This window comes from Homo sapiens, chromosome 1, assembly GCF_000001405.40.
Source record: "Homo sapiens chromosome 1, GRCh38.p14 Primary Assembly".
Lineage (NCBI taxonomy): Eukaryota > Metazoa > Chordata > Mammalia > Primates > Hominidae > Homo > Homo sapiens.
Window position 1 is genome coordinate 154,548,200 of NC_000001.11, and position 19,521 is coordinate 154,567,720.

Genomic DNA, 19,521 nt, shown 5'->3' on the forward strand with positions numbered 1-19,521 from the left:
CCCTCTAAAACTGCTGCAGTGAGATTAGAGCCTGCCAGTGTGGGCTCTGGGCCATGCAAACCCTGCCTGGGATATAGATACATGTTTGAAGTGTAGGGGAACAACCTAAGAGTTAGTTTCATTATTTCTCCTTGCCTTCTAAGTGGAGAGAAGAAAATTGTTTCATGATGATATGGCCTTGTTTCTTTTTTATACTTTGTACTTTATTAGAACCCTAAACTTAAGGTCATAAAAGGGAGTGCTGGGTTTGGCAAGAAAAATGGAGGATTCTCTTAGAGTTAGTTGGTGTTATGCAACTCACAGGGGCAGGCATTTCCCTCTATGTCAAGTGAACAGGAACCCCACTGTTTCTTCAAATAATTTTATTAGAGCCAAACTATTTAAATAATTTTATTTGTTTCATCCTTTGGTAGATGAGAAAAATACATTACAAAATACATTATACAGAAGACAGCTCACAGTACACATTACTAAAAACACAATCTACATTCCAGCCAGGGCTGGTGGTAAGTTCAGAAGAAAGCCACAGAGGCCTTGAAAACCAGATTTCAGCTCTATGGAATGAATTTTCCCCTTATGTCCCGTCTTTATCTCAACCTCAGCATGTTTTATTAGCACCCCTAATTAGGTGGGTGTGGGTAGAGTTAGAGCAGCATTGAGTGGGACTGGTGGACTCTCCATCCACCTAAAGCAGCAAACATTAAAAGTCCCTCAAAAGAAAAGGGGTAGGGGAGGGGAAAGAATGGCCAATGTGAAAATTGCTGTGTCTCAAAGCATTACAGAACTGCTCTAGCATCCTAGTTCCCAGGCAGTTGTCCCAAGTCTGGGTTTTCTGAGACTTGGGTCTTCACTTGGCCATCTTTGGCCTCTGTCATTTCACTGTTAATGAGAGCTGCTGGCATCGTAGGTCCTAAGAGGCTGAGTCCCAGAGCAAGCTTACAGACAAAGAGATGCAGGCAGCACCCGCTAGATGCAAAGTCATGCCCAAACTTTTACAACAGCAAGTACATACAACACAGCACTGACAGTTCCATCTCAGTACAGACTCCCCACCTCATCTTCCCTCCCTGGCAGTTCCTGAGCCTGGGGTAAGGACACAGGTGTATAGAACAACCCCCCTTAAAATGCTAACCCTTTCTAGTAGGACCCACCTTGTGGGAGTGGCTTGAAAGAATCCATAATTTCCCAAGCCAAACAAATTCAGAGCTAGGTCTGTTCTTTTTGATAAAGCCAAATGAAGCAAGAGAGAGGGAGGTGAGCAAAGCTTACCAATGATCACCATCCAGTGCTGGTTAGAAGCCACTTTCCAGGAGAGGAACCAATGAACAGCGAAGAGTTGCAGCCACACAGCTGAGATCAGAAAAGACCACATACACACTTGGAGACTGTGTCCCCATCCCCACTCAATTCATTCAAAAGGAATTCTACGAAGCAGCCTCTTGAGCCTCATTTTCTTTTTCTTAGAAATTTGAAAACATCTGTGACTAGAAAAGTAGTCCTAAGAATTAACACCATCGTTTCAGCCTACCACATTGTAGTTTGGCAGGCCAGGCTCTGCATTCCAAGGGGGCAAGTGCTGGTTGCTCCAGAGGCCTTGAGGAGAAATCTAGGGGCAGACCAGGTGTGTGCTTCAGCTCCAAGTTTCTCTTGCTTTAGCAGCAAAATGCGGCCTCTCATCTCTACCAAAGCAACAGTGGACTCGTACCCCTCCCCACCTCCCAAGTAGTTCAGGGGATGGGGTGGGATGTGCGAATAAAAATAAAGATGAGTCAAGACCAGCATCTTCAAATTAACAAACTGTAATTGTTTTCCCAAAGATACATTTTTTTCATACACATCCATCATACACTGTAACCAAAAAAAGCAGTGTACATGAAATAAGAGAAAATAAATTAAAAATCCATAGCATAGGTAAGGAGGCTCTAGTCTGGAGCACAGCTGAGTTTCCAGCAATATAAGGAGGCTCGAAAGTTTCTTTTATAAGAATGCCTGCTAGCAAGGGTTCCAGCAAGGTGGTTGGTTGGTCTGTAAGTCAGTCTTGAGTACTTGAAACAGTTCTGTGTTTGTTTTTTTTCCTTAGCGTTTAGAATAGCCATCATTGTCCTGCAATAGGCAGAGCTATCACGTCCAGGAAAAATGAGGGAGGGAACCACAGAGGCAGCGTGAGATCCAAATACAGCATTCAAAGGTAATTGGTCCAGTGGTGCCTGGGGAGGGAGGAAGGGTGATACTCCAGGGTTAGCCGTCTTCTTTTGGGGGTGTGTACCAGCCTGCAAAGAAATGGAATGGTCAGTGAGGTGAAGGTTCAGGCCCACCCTCCCTGTCCTGCCCCAATCCCTGAAGACGTCTCCAGTGGCAGAGATAAGAGGATATTGGGGAGGGCTATGCTGTGTGGGGAGAGGTGTATGGGAAGCTGAGAGCCTGCATACCTGGAGATGAGAAGGGGGAATGATGTGCCCAACCTGAGATGATGGGAGAGTTAGATGAGCTTTTTCAAAAGGTGGTCAAGAAGGGGGTAGCACCAAGTTTATCGGTGATACGATCATTTTGGTGTGTTTCTGGAAGAGGTTGTGAATGTTAGCCACCGCCAGTCCCTCCTGGGAGAACTGGGGCAGGTGCTGTGTTAATGGGTGGTTGAGTATCAGAAACCAAAAGAAGGGGTTCTTGCTCTGTGGCTGGAAGTGAAAACCTGGGTGTGGCAAGTGTCCGAATCTCCTGAGTCCTGGCTCCAGCCTCACCGTTTTTTTCGTGGATCTGCACCAAGGACTTGTAGGACTGCTGTGCTCTTGTCAGACTGTATTGAGACTGGGGAGAGGAAGCCACCAGATCAGGCCATGGCTAGCTGTGGCCTTACTGCCCCTCACCTTCTGCAGGCTGTCACCCAGAGACCCCAGAGTCCCAGCTCCCAGCACTGTGGTCTAGTAAAACACTAAGTACCCTCCACCTTCGAGGTCCCTTGGAGGCATAATCCCATAGTCTTCCTTTTCCAGACCCGAAACCTCCCAAAAGTCCTAGGGGTGCCCCTAGGGGCCAAGGCACAGTTGTTCCATTGTGGGCACCCTAGGCCCTCTCATCCAATGCCACCAGCCCGGGGGCCTTATGCTCATTCCTCTAAAGAAGGCAGCCTTGGCCTGCTAGTGGCCCCAAGTGTACTTGGCTCCACCCAGCCCCACCAGCCCCAGGACCAGGATCCTTACTTTGTTGGCTCCAAACTGCACTCGTGCTTTCCCCTTCACCAGTGTGGCACTGATCTGCATGATCACTGACTCTATGGAGTAGGCACTGCTCCAGCCCTGGGTGAAGGGAAGGACAAGGCAAGCAGGTCCAGATGGAGCTTCCAGAGAACCCTCATGCTTGTCCTCTGGGCAATCAGCTGTGTCTATAGGAGGGCCCTTGCCCTTTGCCCCCAGCACTGCCACCACCTGTCTGTCTAGGTCAGTGGGTGCAGACCCAGCCCAGCAGAATGAAAGGGCCACATCATGTCTATCACCCAGCCCGTAGGGGTGTGTGCTGTAAAGCTCAGACAATCCCCGCCCAGGCCGGCCTGGCCAAGGAGGAGAGACAGGCTCACCTGTTTGGTGAGAAGTTCCATGCAGATGGCCCCTCCGCCCAGAACATACCTGCATGAGAAAGGTTAGTCAGCTGTGCCTGACAAAATCTCCAAGTCTCTTCCCCGCCCTCTGCCAGAGGAGATGCCCTCTTCCGCATGCCAGCCACTCACCCTCCAGAGAGGACTGGAGACACAACCCTGACAAATGGTGGGTCAAAGGGAAAGTTATCCTGAGAGAGAGAGAGACGACAATCAGGGGAGGGAGGCCAGCATCCTCCACAGGACTGTCAGGCAGACTGGGCAGCCTAGGCCAGAGGGAGAGACTGGAAAAGAAAAGTCTTACTTTAAAGGAAAAGTTAAGTAGAATGAAGTCGGCTCCTTCTTTCTCTTTGAGGATCTGGAGATCGTTGTGCAAAGCGCTGTCCTGGTCAACTCTAAGAAGCAACAAGCCTGGGCTCAGATGCCTGGTTCCACCTCAGGAGCTTCATAAGGGCTCCCCTGCCCTGGCTGGCAGCAGACCACGAAACCACTGCCCACACCCGCTCCGGGACCCTGAATGAAAATGCTGGATGGGGCTGCCCTGGAGATCCCACCACAGTAGCCCCACTCACACTCCTCCTCAACTTCCTCTCCAATCCCAGAGTCCCCACTCACTTGAGGAGTTTGACATTCCAATCATACAGACTGTCATTCACGAGTTCGACTGCATAGTTTCCTGGAAGGAGGGAAAAAACAGGTGTTAGTAGAATGGTCCAGGTGGTGAGTGGTCTCTAATGCAGACCCCTTTCCCAGACTGAGAGAAAAAGATCAACAGCTCTAGGTTCACCACAGATGGACATGCAACCAAGCCACTGGCTTGAGGAGCTCCATTCTTGGCCTGAAAAGTTCATAAGCACTCCTGGACCCCAGAACCTCTTGGGCCCCTTGCCACCATACCCTTCTTTATGGGTGACTCTTGTGCAGGCCCCTCTCTGGGGCAAACTCACCGCCTTTGAAACTCTGTGATCGGTATATATCCCTGAGCTCCTTCATCAGCCGGTCAGTGGCCTGCACCGAGCCAGACACTGCACCCTGTGAGGGACGGATGACAGGAACATTCCTTGGTCGTGTGGTTTATAAACACACGTTAGACCTTAGGGGCAGTCTGGCAGCTTGCCCAGGATTTAAGAAAGGATTAGGCACAAAAAAGGAGTCTGCTCTCCATACTGAGATGCGATGGCCTACTACTTCCCAGCCATTTCCCACCAACCCCTTCACCAGCCTCTCTCTAGAAGGCACGTACATTTAAGTAATCTTGCCTCTGGTTCTTTTTAATTTTCTCTAGGATGGCCAAGTTTTCTTTTCCAATGCCATCATCTTCAGATTTCTTGCCCTCAGCTGGCTCTTCCTCTTTCATTTCATAGTGATCTAAGTCTTCTGTGTCCTGGAGGAGGTGTGGGGTGGGAGTGAAAAGAAAAGGAAAAAAACCGACACAGGTTAGAGAATGACCATCACCTTCCCAGTCCCATTTGGCGAAGAGCCAAAAGTTAAAGTGAAGCAGTCCATCTAGCAGTCTTATAAACGCAACGTGCTTTCCATTTTTAGAACAATTTCCAGCCCCATTCCCTCCACAGTCTAAATCTTCAGCTCTCAAGCTACAGCAAGGACTTCGGAAACGAGCAGAGCTGCAGCTGAGATCGAGGCAGGGACTTAGCCCTCTTGTTTCCTGGACTGACCCTGCTCCAACTGTTCCTAAAACTCCCTTGGCAGCAGAAACTCTTCCCTAATTCCTAGCAGAAATGACTTGGGCCTGACCCTGTGACTCAAAGCTCATGTTTCACCAGGTGACTATTGCACCCGGGAGTTCTCAGGGCCCCAAGCCTAAAGGAGAAACCTGAATCATTACATCTCCTCTCCTCGCTACAAATGCAAGGCATGAATCAGGTATGCAGAGGCACGCACTGCCAGATGGAAATGAGAAAGGATGTCCAGAGAGATATATGGAAGAGGTCAAGAACAGAATTAGCCCCTTATTCATCCTGCTCTAAGTGAGCAAGCAACTAGCTCACTGAGCATAGGGAAGGAGGAGAACCTATGTAGGGTTGAGCCCCTCAGCCAGATGTTGGGGGTGTGGCCCAGAGGGCTGTCCACTATCTGGGAGGAGTAAATTTCATGTCGTCAGCCCTTTGCCAGTCTCAAGAACCTTACACGGTTATAGAACCTGGGATATTAATCTAATGCTAGGAAATAAAAGTAATCAGAGTGATCTCCCCATTTCTGGCAGGACATACCTAATTACCACACCAGCAGGTAATGTCTACTGAGTGTTTATTACATGCCAGGTTCTGTCCTAGGTGCCGCAGATACTAGCTCATTTCATTCTTACCACCATCACTCATTATTCTATCATTATCCATTTTATAGATGCGGAAGCTGAGTCTAGTGAGGTCAATTATCATGCCCAAAGTCACAGCTCTTAGCAGAGCTAAGATTCAGTCAAGTTCTGTCTAGCTCTAAAGCTCAAATTCCTAACCATGATTTTATATTCTGTATGTTTTTAGAGAATATATCAGATAGATTGTTTAGCATTTATCATGTATCATCTGAAGCATTTTATATATAACACCTCATTTAATCTCAAGACAACCATATGCAGTAGGTATTATAATCCTACTTTATAGATAAGAAAACTGTAGCTTAGTGAGATTACATAAAATTCCTCAATTAGGATAGCTAGGATGCAAACACAGGTTTGTTGGACTCCAAAGCCATTTGAAATTAACTTACCCAGTATTTGGTTTGAACCGCGCTGCACCTGTCTTCAGTGGTTGGATATGGGTGCCCTGTCTCCTCTACTACACTGGCTATTCCTCCAGGTCAGTAAATCTGTCTTTATTCCTTTGATATTTTTCTCTCTCCAGTTTTAGACTGGAGTTCTGGATATGGGTACCAATGTTGCTGACTGCAAGAGCTTCCAGCCAATGCCACCTCAGGGGGCAAGCCTACCTCAGGCATCTCCTCATCTTCATCTTCTGAAGACACGTCTTCCTGTGTGCACTGCAGCAAGGAAGGGAAAGATGGAGATCAGAGCCCCAGTGGCTTGCTAGAATGCAGCCTCCAACCTACTCCCCTGAGCCCCCAGGTCTGGAAGTTGTGCGCCTGCCTGTAATGCTGCCAGTCTCTCCACCAGCCAGATCTGAGTGGAAGCAACAGCCCAGGGAATGGCTTTGCTACCAGCCCATTATTTTTCGCCTATCACTGCCAAAGAATAAAAGAAAAGCAAAATGGCTGTCTCTGTCACCCACCTCCTAAATCCTAGTTTAATTCTCCTAAGAACCCCTCCTTTACTTGATCTTCTTTAGACTGATATTGCATTCTTGGTTCTCACCAAGGGGCCTGGGTCCCCAGTGGCCACCAACTGTTATTGCTAAGATAATGGTAAAAATTCCCCCGCTCCCTTTCAACATCTGGGATGCTGCCCATGAGAATGAATTTTGATATCAGAGATGAAGCTACCAGTGCCCCATTTAGCAAAAGAAGATTCCCATCTGGAGAAGAACGAGGGTGAGAGTCATAAGACGTGTATGTTTTTGGGAGCCGGTGGGGATGGAGAGAAACTACTGATTTGTCTCAATTATTTACTGAGTACCCTGTGGGGCAACTCTGCACAACAGGGCCCGAGGCTCCTCAGCTGCTCACCTGCTCTGCTGGCAAGGGTTGATCCAGCATCTCCACATCTGGATGCTGAGGGAGGTTATAGAGTTTACACAGGTCGGAGATGATCCTCTTCAGATGCTGCAATAGCTACAGGTAGGGGAGCACAGAGACATCAAATCCTTCCCCACTCCGATCTGGATAAGTGCATGGATGAGCTCTTAGTTTGGGCCCCACACCAATAACTAGTTCTCTAAGCCTTATGGGCCACGTGGCTGTGGGAATGAGTCTCCTGATGGACCAATCCCAGGGCCGATGCAGGGTCTCCCTCTGGCTTCAGTAAGCAACTCCCCCGAGAGGTCATCCCCTAAATGTTTAGCTGTGTACCGTCCACTTTTCAGGATCCCTTTCACAGGATGCCTTTGTGGCATGGGCCTCATAAGAACAAAATGTACCCCTACCCTGTGGCCCCCTCACCAGAGTATTCCCTTTCTTTATGTCCACCAGCCTCTCCAAGACAGCAGCCAAGTTAGGGTCATCAGACTCCACCGACCAGATGGGGGGCACAGCAGGGTATGACTCCTGAAGGGAAAAGAGCAATAAGAGCAATCAAAATGGGTGACTCTGGGAAAAGCCAGATTTTGCCTGTCCTCTTCCCCCCAAGACTTCTAGCCCCTTTGCTTCCCACCCCCACCCCCTACACACACATAAAAGCCCAACTTAGGTCAGCATCTAACCAAGCAGCTTCACAACAAATTCTAAACTGGAAGAAAAACAGTCCCTGGGAAGACCCTTTCCGAGAAGCAGACTGAAACCTTTTCTTTCTTTCCTCGAGAGTACAAACCAGGAAACCTAGCACAGCCAAACTTGGCTAACAGCGAAGGGGGACTCCTCATCTCCTGCACTGCCTATACAAGTTCTAGACTTCAAGTTCTCCCTGGACCCAGAACAGTCCTCCAAGCTTGCTTTTCAAACTCCAGAATCGGCTGAGGAAGGGATCACCTCATCACAATGACACTGAAGTGAAAAAAGCAGAGTTCAGTAGGGAAGAAGTATAAAAACTAGACTGTATCTCCAGAACCCAAGAGTAAAAGGGTACTGGCAAGAATCTACCCACACCACTTCCAGAAGAGCCCCTCAAAGACCAATTCTCCCCACCTCTCCCTTGGGAACCTGCCACCTTCTCAGTCCAGGCGTGGGCTGTAGGGCTCCACATGGCAGGCTGGGAGAAAGAAGCCTACGCTACTGACATTCCCAGCATTCCTGAGCCACGGTGCCAAATGCAGCCTGACCAGACTCCCTCTCTGCCCAAACCAAGGGGGCTAGTTTAGGCCAAGTCTCCTTTATAGCCATGGGGAGTCTGGCTGAGGACCCCCTAAATTTAACTTCCTGCCAGGGACAAACGCAGTAAATGGCCTCTGGCAACAGAAAGAGCAGCTGGATAGGGGCAAACCTACCCTTAAGGAATTAGAAGCTTAATTCAGGAACAAAATTAACTCGAGGTTCCCACACAAGCCAGGGAAACCTTATCCACCTCTACTGGGTATCTTAGCATTGCCATGACTCTAATCCTCAATGCTGGAGGAAAAATAATTATCAAAGATGCCCAAGTCTTCACTTAACTAAGCCACTCCTAGTCCTTCAATTTTAACTTTCTAGCAGGAAAAAAGAAAGGAAATGAAAAGAGAAATGGGACATATGAGTTTTGGTGGGGCACCAATCAATCCAAACTGAGGCTTTACCTCACCAAATCTTAACTTGGTTTGATTGAGAAAACGGACAGAAAACACCAGTAAGTTGAATTCAGGCCCCCAAGTAGCAGAGAATTCACAACTCTGCCTTTCCCCAGGCTACTCCGATTAGGTCTGCCTGCCTGGATAAAGTACTGTCTGCTAGCATTTCAGCTACTGCTCCGGTAGAGAGAATACCATCACAGCAGGTAACATCAACCAATATAAGTGCTATAGCATGCAGTACCAGACATTCCCAAATTAGCAGAAGCCAATTCTCTGTTCAAGGGATGTCTGAGGGTAGACCAGGCAGGAGACATGTAAGGTGTATGCCTAGGATGGAATGACGCTCACAGGGGAGAAATGCAACTGTTACTGCTTAGAATAAATGGGGGTAGCCCTCGCACATCACATCACTATCATTACCAGGAAAAGCAACAACCCAGGGCAAATGGACATATCCATAGGGAACAGGCAGGGGAGTGGCAGAACTGCTACCAGCTGAGGCAAAAAGAGGAGAGTTAGAGGTTACACCAGAAAAAGAATCCAAAGGAGAGAAGGAAGAGGAGTCAATGAATTGCAAACTATCACTTGGTGAAGTTGAGAGAGCAAGAGGGTCTGCATGAGGGATGCCTAGGCGGGGATCCCACAGGTGGCAACCTCCTAAGTCAGAGGTACTACTGAGAAGGGGGCATCGCTGAAATGTGCAGTGAGTTTCAGGCCAGGTCTTTGCAGTTAGGGTCAGTGCCGAGGCCTAAAACCTTGAAATAAGAGTAAGGGGAAGAAAGACGCATTCCTAGGTGGCAAGGTAAAGTTGTGGAGGAGTAGCCAAAAAGAGCCAAAATCATGAACCTTGGGATGTGGGTGGGTTCGTGGAAACGGGTAGTCTAGGCGCCATATGTCGGGGTGTCCCTTGCTATTGGGGTCAATGGTAGAGATTCTGGGTGCACTGCATAACCTCAAGCAGCAGAAACAAATGTAACCTGGAGAGAAAGAACTGAGCCCTGAGAGGGGCTTCGGCCTCCCAGGTCCTTCGAGAGCAAAAAGCTGGATGGAGTGATCCTGGGTCCCTGACAAGGGGCCCCCACAGAGGCGCACGCGAGGGGGTCCTCACCGTGATGTTGCAGTGGATGCGGACAGGATCCCCAGGCACCGACCCCCGTGGGGGGAGATGCGGTCCGGGCGCGGCCCCCGCCCCGGCCCCTCCGGCCCCAGCCAGCAGGAACTCGCAGCTCAGCTCGTCCAGGCAGGCGCTGGCAATGCGGAAGCGCTCGTGGCCGCGGTGGAAGATGGACTCGAGCAGCTTCAGCTCTCGCCTCAGGCAGGGCCCCGGCCCCGGGCCCCCCCCTGGGCCGCCCCCGGCCCCCGGCGCCGCCCCCTGGCCCCCCAGCTGCTGCCCCGGCCCCGGCTGCTGCTGCCCCTGCGGCTGCGGCTGCTGCATCCTCCGCTCCGCTCCGCTCCGGGGCCGGCGGGCCGGGAGCCTCCGGCCTGCGCTCCGGGCTCCGCCGCCGCCGCCGCCGCCGCCGCCGCCGCCGCGGTCCGCACTTCCTGATCCCCCCTTCGCCAAGATGGCGCCGCCGCCACCTCCGGGACAGGCCCCCCCCTCCGCTCGCTGGCCCCCCCAGCCGCCGGAAGCCGCGCGCCCCTCCTCCTCCTCCTCCTCCTAGGCGGCCCCGCCTCCGTCCCCCTCACGTGACTTCCCTGCTCTGGCCTCCTCCACGTGATCTCTCCGTCTTTCCCGCCCCCCTGTTCTCGCCTGCCACCCTCCACATGTGACCCGGGGCCTGGGGCTTGCCTCTGTGGGCGCCTCAGTGCGAGTTTGCGTATGTCGTGCGTGCTTGCGCGCGACGCCCCTTCGCCTGCGCTCCCCTCTCACGTGACTCGGTGCCGCGTGCTCCCAGGGGCTACCCGCGCAGGACGCTGTTTCCTGCCCCGGGCGCCGCTTCCCCCGCCCCCGAGCCGTGGCGAGCGTGCCCGGCACTCCATGGACAGAGAAGAAAGAAGTGCTGTCTTCCCCGTGCAGTCTTTATCCTGCTCCCACATGCTGGTCTTCGGCGCAGGATCCTGGAGCCTCTGCTCCCCGTGGGGGTGGGCATGCTGTGTCTTCACACTCGGGTGGGTGGTCGGGGTAGGAGCCGGGAACCGGAATGGAAGAGGCGTGGATTCTCGTCCCAGCCCTGGCTCTCATGGCGTTTTGTGACCTTGGGTTAACCACTTTCCCGCCGAGTCTCAGTTTCCTCATCTGTACAATGGCTCTCATGAGAATGATGCCTGTTTTTCCTATTCCCAGGGAGGGATTCGATGCGAGGACACCATAAAATGAGGAATGATAATAGATCACTGCTGTGTTATGTACAAGTGTTAGTTAATATCAGGCCTTTCGCGCTTTTCAGACCCCATGGGTCTGGACGAGGTTGGGGGAAGGACAGCATGGGCTTCCTCCACAGAGTCATGGAAGGAGTGCTGACTCGGGTGGTCCCCATTCCCTTTCCTAGGCCTAAATGGCTAACACCTTGTCGCAGTGGTCTTGGCAGCTGCCAGGAGTAGGTAGTGCCTCCGGACCCTCGCTAGGTGGCACTATCACAAAGGACAAAGCTGGTTGAAGCTACAGAAATCCCGAGCTGGCGTTCGTTTTGCCAAGGGCAAGTGTTATTAGCCTGTGGTAAGGCCTAGTCAATTCTGCTGGGCCAACTCAGCCCTTAAACCACTGGTCAGATTGCCCCGTTTCTCTCCCACTTGTACTAAAATGAGCTAGCCTTTGCTGGAAGACTATTCAATTGCCTCTGCAGAGGCCTCCTTTGGTCAAGTTGGGGTATGGGTATTTAAAGACGATTATAGTCTGTTCCTGGTCTTCGTGGGGCCATTTATCTGGTTTAGGTAGCCTGAACAGTTTGCTACATGTTGACTTTGTGTCTGTGTGTGCAAGCTGATAGCATAAAAGGCTGTGGTGGGAATTCCTGTTAATTATTTCCTGAGCGAAGGTGTTTTGCAAATATATATATATATATATATATATATATATTTATTTATTTATTTATTTATTTATTTATTTTAAGACAGGGTCTTGCTCTCTCGCCCTGGAGTGCAGGGGCACAATCTCAGCTCACTGCAGCCTCGGGAGACCTCAAGCTATCCTCCCACCTCAGCCTCCCAAGTAGCTGGGATTACAGGCGCATGCTACCACAGCTGGGTAATTTTCGTATTTTTTTTGTAGAAAGGGGTCTTGGTATGTTGCCCAGACTGGTCTCAAACTCCTGGGCTCAAGTGATCTGCCCATCTCGGCCTCCCAAGGTGCTGGGATTGCAGGTGTGAGCCACTGTGCCCAGGTGCAAATATTTGTAAATCTCCCAACAACATTGCAAGGTAAGTATTTTTACCCCTGTTTACAACTGGGGAAAAGGAGTGACTCTGTAAGGATATACAGTCTGTAAACAGAGTTCCTAGGCCTGTCTCCAAAGTCCATGCCCTTGTACCCTACTCTGCCTTTTTTAGTGTGTTGAACCCCAGCTCTGCCAACTACTAATGATGTGACTGTGGGGAAATTACTTAGCTTGTTTGTGCCTTAGTTTTCACACCTGTAAAATGGAGATCATAATAGTACTTACTTGTTAGGAGGATTATGTAAGAACACACGTAAAGTGCATAAAATAGTGCCCATGGTAAGAACTCAAACATTTTTTTAAAAATTGGGGCTCAGCAAGGCTTGTGTCTAGTGAAAGGAGAGAAGGGTAGGAGATGAGTCCAGTGAAGAAAGCAGGGGCTAGATTATGGAGACCACAGTACATTGTTTGGGTTTTATTTAAAGCACAGTGGGAAACTCCTGGAGGATTTTAAGCAGGGAGTGGCATGAGCTGATTTAAAAATTTAAAAGATCGGCCGGGCGCGGTGACTCACGCTTGTAATCCCAGCACTTTGGGAGGCCGAGGCGGGCGGATCACAAGGTCAGCAGATTGAGACCATTCTCACTAACGGTGAAACCCCGTCTCTACTAAACAAAATATAAAAAATTAGCCGGGCGTCGTGGCAGGCGCCTGGAGTCCCAGCTACTCGGGAGGCTGAGGCAGGAGAATGGCGTGAACCCGGGAGGCGGAGCTTGCAGTGAGCTGAGATCGCACCACTGCACTCCAGCCTGGGCGACAGAGCGAGACTCCGTCTCAAAAACAAAAACAAATTTAAAAGATCACTCTGGCTGTTCTGTGGAAAATGGATTGTAGGGATTTTTTTTTCCTCCAAAAAATCATTCATTACGGGTGCCCATATTTGGAGTAGAGTGAGCAACCTTCTCCTTTGACTTGCTCCCTGAGCATAGAATTCTGTCATTGACTCAACAAATAATGTCCTGAGCACTTAGTCTTTGCAGGAATTGTAGAGGGCACTGGGGATGCAGAGATAAAGAAGATAATGGTCCCTGTGAGAACGTGATTTGTGGTACAGAGGAGAGGCTTCTTACCGGACAGTTCCTACTTATTAGTTTTGTTGTATTCTTGCTCCAGCCCTTAGGAGCACACAGTGATGGATGAAGTGGAGCCAAATCTCACCAACAGTAATACAATACGATGAACACAATAATAGGGATCAAGAAGGGGAACGGCCTTGAAGGGTGATATTATTAATAGGATTAACTCCAAAAAAAATGTGAAAGTAAGAGTTTCTTAGGTGGAATGGGAGAACATTCTGAAAGAACTGGGCCCTAAAGTAGAAGGAGGTTGGGAAGAAAGGTCTAAAACAAAGAAAGAATGACTTAAGAAGGGGGCTGGTGCAGTGGCTCACGCCTGTAATCCCAGCACTGTGGGAGGCGGCCAAGGCAGGCAGATAACATGAGGTCAGGAGTTTGAGACCAGCCTGGCCAACATGGTGAAACCCTGTATCTACTAAAAATACAAAAATTAGCCGTGCGTGGTGGCGGGCGCCTATAGTCTCAGCTACCCAGGAGCCTGAGGCTCGAAAAATGCTTGAACCCAGGAGGCGGAAGTTGCAGCGAGCCAAGATGGTGCCACTGCAGACCAGCCTGGGTGACAGTGAGACTCTGACTCAAATAAAAGGAAGGGAAAGAGACAAGGAGGGAGCTCAGCATAGGCAAGAGTTGTAGAGGTGTTGGTCGTTGGGGCTATTGCCTGAGATCCCAGGGTAACCCTGATAGCCTGGTAGTATCAATGCTTCTGAAAGTCAGTTTAGCAGTTAATATTCAAAACACGTTAAAACTTTAACCCAGCAATTACACTTGGAAAGAAAAGGTACGTGCACAAATTTGCCTAAAAGGGAAAACTGTAGCTGTGAAAAATAGTTATCAAAAATACTTATTGGTATGGAGAGTTGTTTGAGAAATAGTAAATGAAAAAAGATTAGACTGAAGTGAGCTGAAGATTTAAAAAAGAAAGGTGGTTACAAAGCTATGTTACAGTGTGCTCCATTAAAAAAAAAATATGCGATTTAGTTATGTACCCAACAGAAATGCATATACAGTCATGTGTCAGTTAATGGTGGGATACATTCTGAGAAATGTGTCTCAGTGGTTTTTTTGTTGTGTGAACATCATAGTGTACTTACACAAACCTAGATGGTGTAGCCTACTACACACCTAGCCTATAGGGTCTAGACTATGGCTCCTAGGCTACAAACCTGTACTGCATGTTATACTGTAGTGAATACAGTTGCTGCATTCCCCGTGCCCACTAGAATTCCTGCAATTACTGTAGGCAGTTGAAACCCAATAATATGTATTCATGTATCTATCTAAACACAGGAAAGGTACAGCAAAAATACAGTGTTATAATTTTATGGGGGCCACCTTTGTATATTGCAATCTTGTTGACTGAGAAGTCATTACATGGTACATGACTGTATTTGTATACCAAAAGTATGAACAAGAGTGTTCACAGCAGTATTATTTTTTAATAGTCCAAATAGGAAACAACCAAAATATCCATCAATAGTGAAACGGATAAATGATAGTGTATTCATACAATGGAATAGTCCACAGCAATGAAGATGAATGAACTACAACTATATTCAGCAGTGTTCACGATTCTCACTAACATGTTTTTTAAAAAAACAGACACAGGCCGGGCATGGTAGCTCACACATGTAATCCCAGCACTTTGGAAGGCCGAGGCAGGTGGATCACCTGAGGTCAGGAGTTCAAGACCAGCCTGACCAACATGGTGAAACCCCATCTCTACTAAAAATGCAAAAAAATTAGCCGGGTGTGGTGGCACATGCCTGTAATCCAAGCTACTCAGGAGGCTGAGGCAGGAGAATTGCTTGAACCCGGGAGGCGGAGGTTGCAGTGAGCCAAGATCATGCCATTGCACTCCAGCCTGGGCAACAAGAGCAAAACTCCCATCTCAAAACAAACAAACAAACAAAAAAAACCAGACACACACTGAAGATGATGATTCCATTTTTCCATTTATAAAAAGTTCCACAGGCAAAGTCGATCTATGCTATTAGAAGACAGGACAGTAGTTATTTATTTTACCTTCAGTCATTTTTTTAAAATTGTGGTAAAATTACACATAAAATCTGCCACTTTAACTAATTTAAAGTGTATGACTCAGTGGCATTCAGTGCATTCACAAGTTGTATAACCATTACTACTGTCTAGTTCCAGGTAAGTAGTCACCACCTCCCATTCCTCCCTCCTCCCAAGGTGTTTTTTTTTTGAGATGGAGTCTCGCTCTGTCGCCCAGGCTAGAGTGTGCAGTGGTGCGATCTCGGCTCACTGCAAGCTCCACCTCCCGGGTTCACGCCATTCTCCTGCCTCAGCCTCCCGAGTAGCTGGAGCTACAGGTGCCCGCCACGATGCCCGGCTAATTTTTTTTATATTTTTAGTAGAGACGGGGTTTCACTGTGTTAGGATGGTCTCGATCTCCTGACCTTGTGATCCACCCGCCTCAGCCTCCCAAAGTGCTGGGATTACAGGTGTGAGCCATCACGCCTGGCCCCAAGGTGTTACTTTTGAAGAAGAGAGAGTAACTGCTGGAAGGGTCATCATGGGGACTTCTGGATATTAGTTATGTGTGTTTCTTTAAAAAAAAAAATCTAAATTGCGGCTATATGGCTGTGTTTATGTTGTGAAAATTTAGCTGTACACTTGTATATACTTTGCTGTATGAATGTTATATCCGAGTATATATAGATAAATTTGGAGGGGTATGTGTGTGTGTGAAATATATTATTGCTAACACTGATTTTTTTCCTGGGAGGTAGGAGTATGAATCCATTTTGTACTTACTATGTTTTGCTGACTTGTTTTCCAATTGGTATTCATGACGAATACATGTATTACTTTTGTAATAAAAATTTTAAAATTTAAAACATCTTTTTTTTTTTTTTTGAGATGGCGTCTCATTCTGTTGCCCAGGCTGGGAGTGAAGAAGTGGTGCAATCTCGGCTCACTGCAACCTCTGCCTCCCAGGTTCAAGCAATTCTTCCTGCCTCAGTCTCCTGAGTAGCTGGGATTACAGGCATGCGCCACCACACCAGGCTAATTTTTGTATTTTTCAGTAGAGACCGGGTTTCACCACGTTGGCCAGGCTGGTCTTGAATTCCTGATCTCAGGTGATCTGCCTTGGCCTCCCTAAGTGCCAGGATTACAGGTGCGAGCCACCACACTCAGCCTAAAACGCCTTAAATAAAGGACAATAACATTGATTTTAAGCCTTTCCCCCCAACCTTTTTTTTTTTTTTTTTTTTTGAGACAGGGTCTGGCTCTGTTGCCCAGGCTGGAGTTCAGTGACATAGTCTCGGCTCACTGCAACCACCTCCACGGCTCACGATATCCTCCCTCCTCAGCCTCCCAAGTACTGGGAGGTGTTGCCCAGGCTGGGAGCACGTGCCACCACACCTGGCTAATATTTTTAAATTTTTTGTAGAAACAGGGTTTCACCATGTTGCCCAGGCTGATCTTGAACTCTTGAGCTCAGTCCATCCACCTGCCCCAGCCTCCCAAAGTGCTTGGATTACGGACGTGAGCCACCGCTTTCCACCAATTTTAAGCCTTTCAAGAGAAAACATTCCTTATCATCAGTGGCAATGGGAGTGTCTCACCAAAACTTTGCCCAATTACTCTTTAGCCTCAGGATTGATACTTCTGCATCTGTTCATCACCCTCTGTGGTTCTGGACCTGTCCACTCTTCCTGGCTGCCTTTCTTCTTGGTGGGTATGGAAGGAGTATGTGTGGGAGAGATGAGGAAGGAGGTGTTCCCGCCCTGCTTGGACACTGGGTGGTTGTGCTCAGAAGACTCACTCCTTGCCAGGCTGGAAGTAAACTTGAAGCAAAAGCTGGGGGATTTGAGAAGAGAAGGTAGACTGGCCTGGAAGTTGCATCAGGAGAAGCCAGAGGCTTTAAGCAAGCAAATGACCCCCTAGTTTCTCATCCCATAAACAAGCAACCATTACAGAAAGAGATTTTTGTTAAGAGAAGACTTTCACAGCCTTCCTCAATCATTCTGCATCCACCAAAACTCCCTGTATTTCTTAGGAGTTTGGAATACCTTTAAGTCATCCTTGTCTTAATGACTTTCTCACCTTTCAAATCTCAATTTTCATCTTCATCCCTTCTAGGTTCTTAGACACTATTAACCTCTTCTTCCTCTGTGCTTCCATCCATAGCACTTCCTTTATATGTCTGTTAGAACAGCCATCACATTCTATAATAATTTGCTGCCAAACTGTGATCTCCTTAATAGCTGGGACTAAGTCTTTTTGATCACTGCATCTTCAACACATATGGTCCACAACACACATGCAGTTTCCTGGCAAACCACATATACCTAACAAATGTTGATCTAAATTGTTGAAGGAAGATCTTCCCACCCTCTATCTTTTCCTTAAGCAGAGGGACTACACACATTCCTTCTCTTTTCCTTAAGGCTTTTCTTCACTACTTTTCTTTGTTACAAGGTTTCTTTAATTCTTAAGAGATTATTGTGCGCTTACACATGCGCATGCCCCGGAACAAGTCGTGCAGATTTACGCCCATTTCCATGTGCATCATGGGGTCTGTAGTCCTTCTACTTCTCCAGTCCTCTTCTAGAACTTTTCTGCTTCTTCCCTTAATTCCACGACCTGGGGACATGGTCAATAAGTTGCTTTTAGCTGGGCTTTTATTTATTTATTTGTTTAGTTTTTGAAATGGGGTCTTGCTTCATTGCCCAGGCTGGAGTGCAGTTGCGCCATCATGCCCCAAACTGCAGCCCCGACCTCCCTGGCTTAAGTGATCCTCCCACCTCAGCCTCTCGAGTAGCTGGGACTATAGGCACACACCATCATGCCCGACTAATTTTTAAACTTTTTGTACACACGTGATCTCATTATGTTGCCCAGGCTGGTTTCAAACGCCTGGGCTCAAGTGATCCTTCTGCCTCAGCCTTTGAAAGTGCTGAGATTACGGGCTTAAGTCACCTCTCCTGGTCCCTAGCTGAGCTTTTAGAGAGAAATTTTCCCTACACATTAAAAAGTGTCAGTCCAGTACTAGCCCTTTTCCTTACCTGTTGAGCCCTTATAATAATATGCCAGGCACTGTGTTGATTCATAATCTAGAGAGGCAGCCACTGCCTCAGGTGGATTCATTTATTCATTGGACATGCTCTGGAAACATATAACAAAGTATCTGATCTAGTTCTTGGTCAGGCGCAGCTTCCTTAAGGAATTGACATTCCTGCCAAATGCTCAAAGTTAAGTAGAAGGTGATGAGGGGAACATGGGTTATAAAAGAGCCCAAGAGAACCATGCATTTAAGTCCCTGAAGTGTGGGGGATGATGGGACGGATAAGATGTTCAAGGATCCTGAAGACCTTGCCAATAGTTGGAATGTGGAGCTGGGGGTGGAGTGACCCAGATGAGGTTGAAGTAAGCAGGGACAAAACAGGACAGAGCCTTGCTGTATGCTAAGTCTGCTTTAGTCAGGAATCTTTTGGTTGAAAGTGACAACGAACCCACTGAAGGAAAAAAAGGGGCTAAGAGTTCAGGGTTCTCATCTTTGGTCTCCTTTGTGTTAGCTTCTCTCTTGATCAGGCCTCTGTGAGTGGTCTCTGATCTCCCTAGTCACACAGAAGCCAACAGCTGGAGTCAAGAGAAGGGGGTGAGGAAGGCCGATGAATAGGGGCTACTTGTCTTTCCACTATTACCCTCAAGTCTACCTTCTTTGCAGGCAAGTCTAGACCTCCTCAGGTAGACCCTCAGTGGGAGGGCAGGAAGCTTAGCCTTTTAGACTCCAAAGCCGTTTGCTTTCTTAAAAATAGCAAACCCACAGCCCCCTATCTCTTTAAGGGGCTAAACACATTTTCTCTGCTGTATCCTCAGCCTACCTGGGGAGCAGGACCATTTGGGTTTGGTAAGAGAAAAAAGGAGGGCGAAAACCCCGGACACTCCTCCTGTCTCCCGACGCTCGTTCTGGCCGTCTGGCCCTCAGTACTAAGCAGGCCCTGACCTACTTGTCTTACTCTTGCTGCTTCTTCCCGCCGGGCCTCTTGCCCCTTCTCCGACCATGCTGCAGGTCCTGCCCCAACTTTAGGACTTCAGAACTCCTCCACCGTGCCGTGGAGGAACAGCCCTTCTTCCACCTCACGCACACCCTACCACGGCAGAACCAATCGAAGACTATC

General features: G+C 48.5%; 1 protein-coding gene and 2 long non-coding RNA genes across 5 annotated transcripts, besides 7 other annotated features; 1 reads left to right on the forward strand and 2 right to left on the reverse strand.

Annotated features, from left to right (window-relative positions):
* Positions 1-377: 377 nt before the first annotated feature.
* Positions 378-10,463, reverse strand: UBE2Q1 (ubiquitin conjugating enzyme E2 Q1). 2 transcript variants are annotated; one of them, NM_017582.7, is made up of 13 exons: positions 10,028-10,463; positions 7,661-7,765; positions 7,229-7,333; positions 6,536-6,586; positions 4,833-4,973; positions 4,537-4,621; positions 4,205-4,265; positions 3,894-3,984; positions 3,722-3,780; positions 3,572-3,620; positions 3,198-3,293; positions 2,739-2,805; positions 378-2,270 (listed from the first exon to the last, which is right to left on the reverse strand). In NM_017582.7, the coding sequence occupies exons 1-13, from the start codon at positions 10,352-10,354 to the stop codon at positions 2,239-2,241; spliced, it is 1,269 nt and encodes a 422-aa protein (NP_060052.3). In that variant the 5' UTR covers positions 10,355-10,463; the 3' UTR covers positions 378-2,238. The 2 variants fall into 2 exon arrangements, with proteins under 2 accessions (NP_060052.3, XP_047280423.1); XM_047424467.1 differs by lacking the exon at positions 3,198-3,293.
* On the forward strand, positions 5,410-6,829 carry UBE2Q1-AS1 (UBE2Q1 antisense RNA 1). The gene is made up of 2 exons (NR_046668.1): positions 5,410-5,473; positions 6,451-6,829. It is a non-coding gene; the product is annotated as a UBE2Q1 antisense RNA 1 (long non-coding RNA).
* Positions 10,058-10,157: a silencer, noted in NCBI's record as "silent region_1359". NCBI's record gives its function as "represses an Ori minimal core promoter by ATAC-STARR-seq in GM12878 lymphoblastoid cells {active_cell/tissue: GM12878}" and the evidence as "EXISTENCE:reporter gene assay evidence [ECO:0000049][PMID:35858748]".
* Positions 10,317-10,898: an enhancer, noted in NCBI's record as "H3K27ac-H3K4me1 hESC enhancer chr1:154530992-154531573 (GRCh37/hg19 assembly coordinates)". NCBI's record gives its function as "activates a minimal SCP1, AML or CMV promoter by ChIP-STARR-seq in naive H9 embryonic stem cells {active_cell/tissue: H9 hESC(naive)}" and the evidence as "EXISTENCE:reporter gene assay evidence [ECO:0000049][PMID:30033119]".
* Positions 10,478-10,557: a silencer, noted in NCBI's record as "silent region_1360". NCBI's record gives its function as "represses an Ori minimal core promoter by ATAC-STARR-seq in GM12878 lymphoblastoid cells {active_cell/tissue: GM12878}" and the evidence as "EXISTENCE:reporter gene assay evidence [ECO:0000049][PMID:35858748]".
* Positions 10,648-10,737: a silencer, noted in NCBI's record as "silent region_1361". NCBI's record gives its function as "represses an Ori minimal core promoter by ATAC-STARR-seq in GM12878 lymphoblastoid cells {active_cell/tissue: GM12878}" and the evidence as "EXISTENCE:reporter gene assay evidence [ECO:0000049][PMID:35858748]".
* Positions 10,858-10,947: a silencer, noted in NCBI's record as "silent region_1362". NCBI's record gives its function as "represses an Ori minimal core promoter by ATAC-STARR-seq in GM12878 lymphoblastoid cells {active_cell/tissue: GM12878}" and the evidence as "EXISTENCE:reporter gene assay evidence [ECO:0000049][PMID:35858748]".
* Positions 10,858-11,479: a biological region, named in NCBI's record as "H3K27ac-H3K4me1 hESC enhancer GRCh37_chr1:154531574-154532154".
* Positions 10,899-11,479: an enhancer, noted in NCBI's record as "H3K27ac-H3K4me1 hESC enhancer chr1:154531574-154532154 (GRCh37/hg19 assembly coordinates)". NCBI's record gives its function as "activates a minimal SCP1, AML or CMV promoter by ChIP-STARR-seq in naive H9 embryonic stem cells {active_cell/tissue: H9 hESC(naive)}" and the evidence as "EXISTENCE:reporter gene assay evidence [ECO:0000049][PMID:30033119]".
* Positions 16,589-19,518, reverse strand: LOC107985206 (uncharacterized). 2 transcript variants are annotated; one of them, XR_001738238.3, is made up of 2 exons: positions 19,225-19,518; positions 16,589-17,983 (listed from the first exon to the last, which is right to left on the reverse strand). It is a non-coding gene; the product is annotated as an uncharacterized LOC107985206 (long non-coding RNA). The 2 variants fall into 2 exon arrangements; XR_001738237.2 differs by having other exon boundaries at positions 16,595-17,983; positions 19,360-19,518.

What these genes read in the sequence shown, in the direction of transcription:
- UBE2Q1 (NM_017582.7), bottom strand. Translation starts at nt 10,354, where the DNA reads ATGCAGCAGCCGCAGCCGCAGGGGCAGCAGCAGCCGGGGCCGGGGCAG. An exon ending in GCATCCACTGCAACATCACG is followed by an intron (nt 7,766 to 10,027) that starts GTGAGGACCCCC and finishes TTTTCCCTTCAG; the next exon opens with GAGTCATACCCTGCTGTGCC. An exon ending in TGCAGTTTGGAGCCAACAAA is followed by an intron (nt 2,806 to 3,197) that starts GTAAGGATCCTG and finishes TCCTCTCCCCAG; the next exon opens with TCTCAATACAGTCTGACAAG.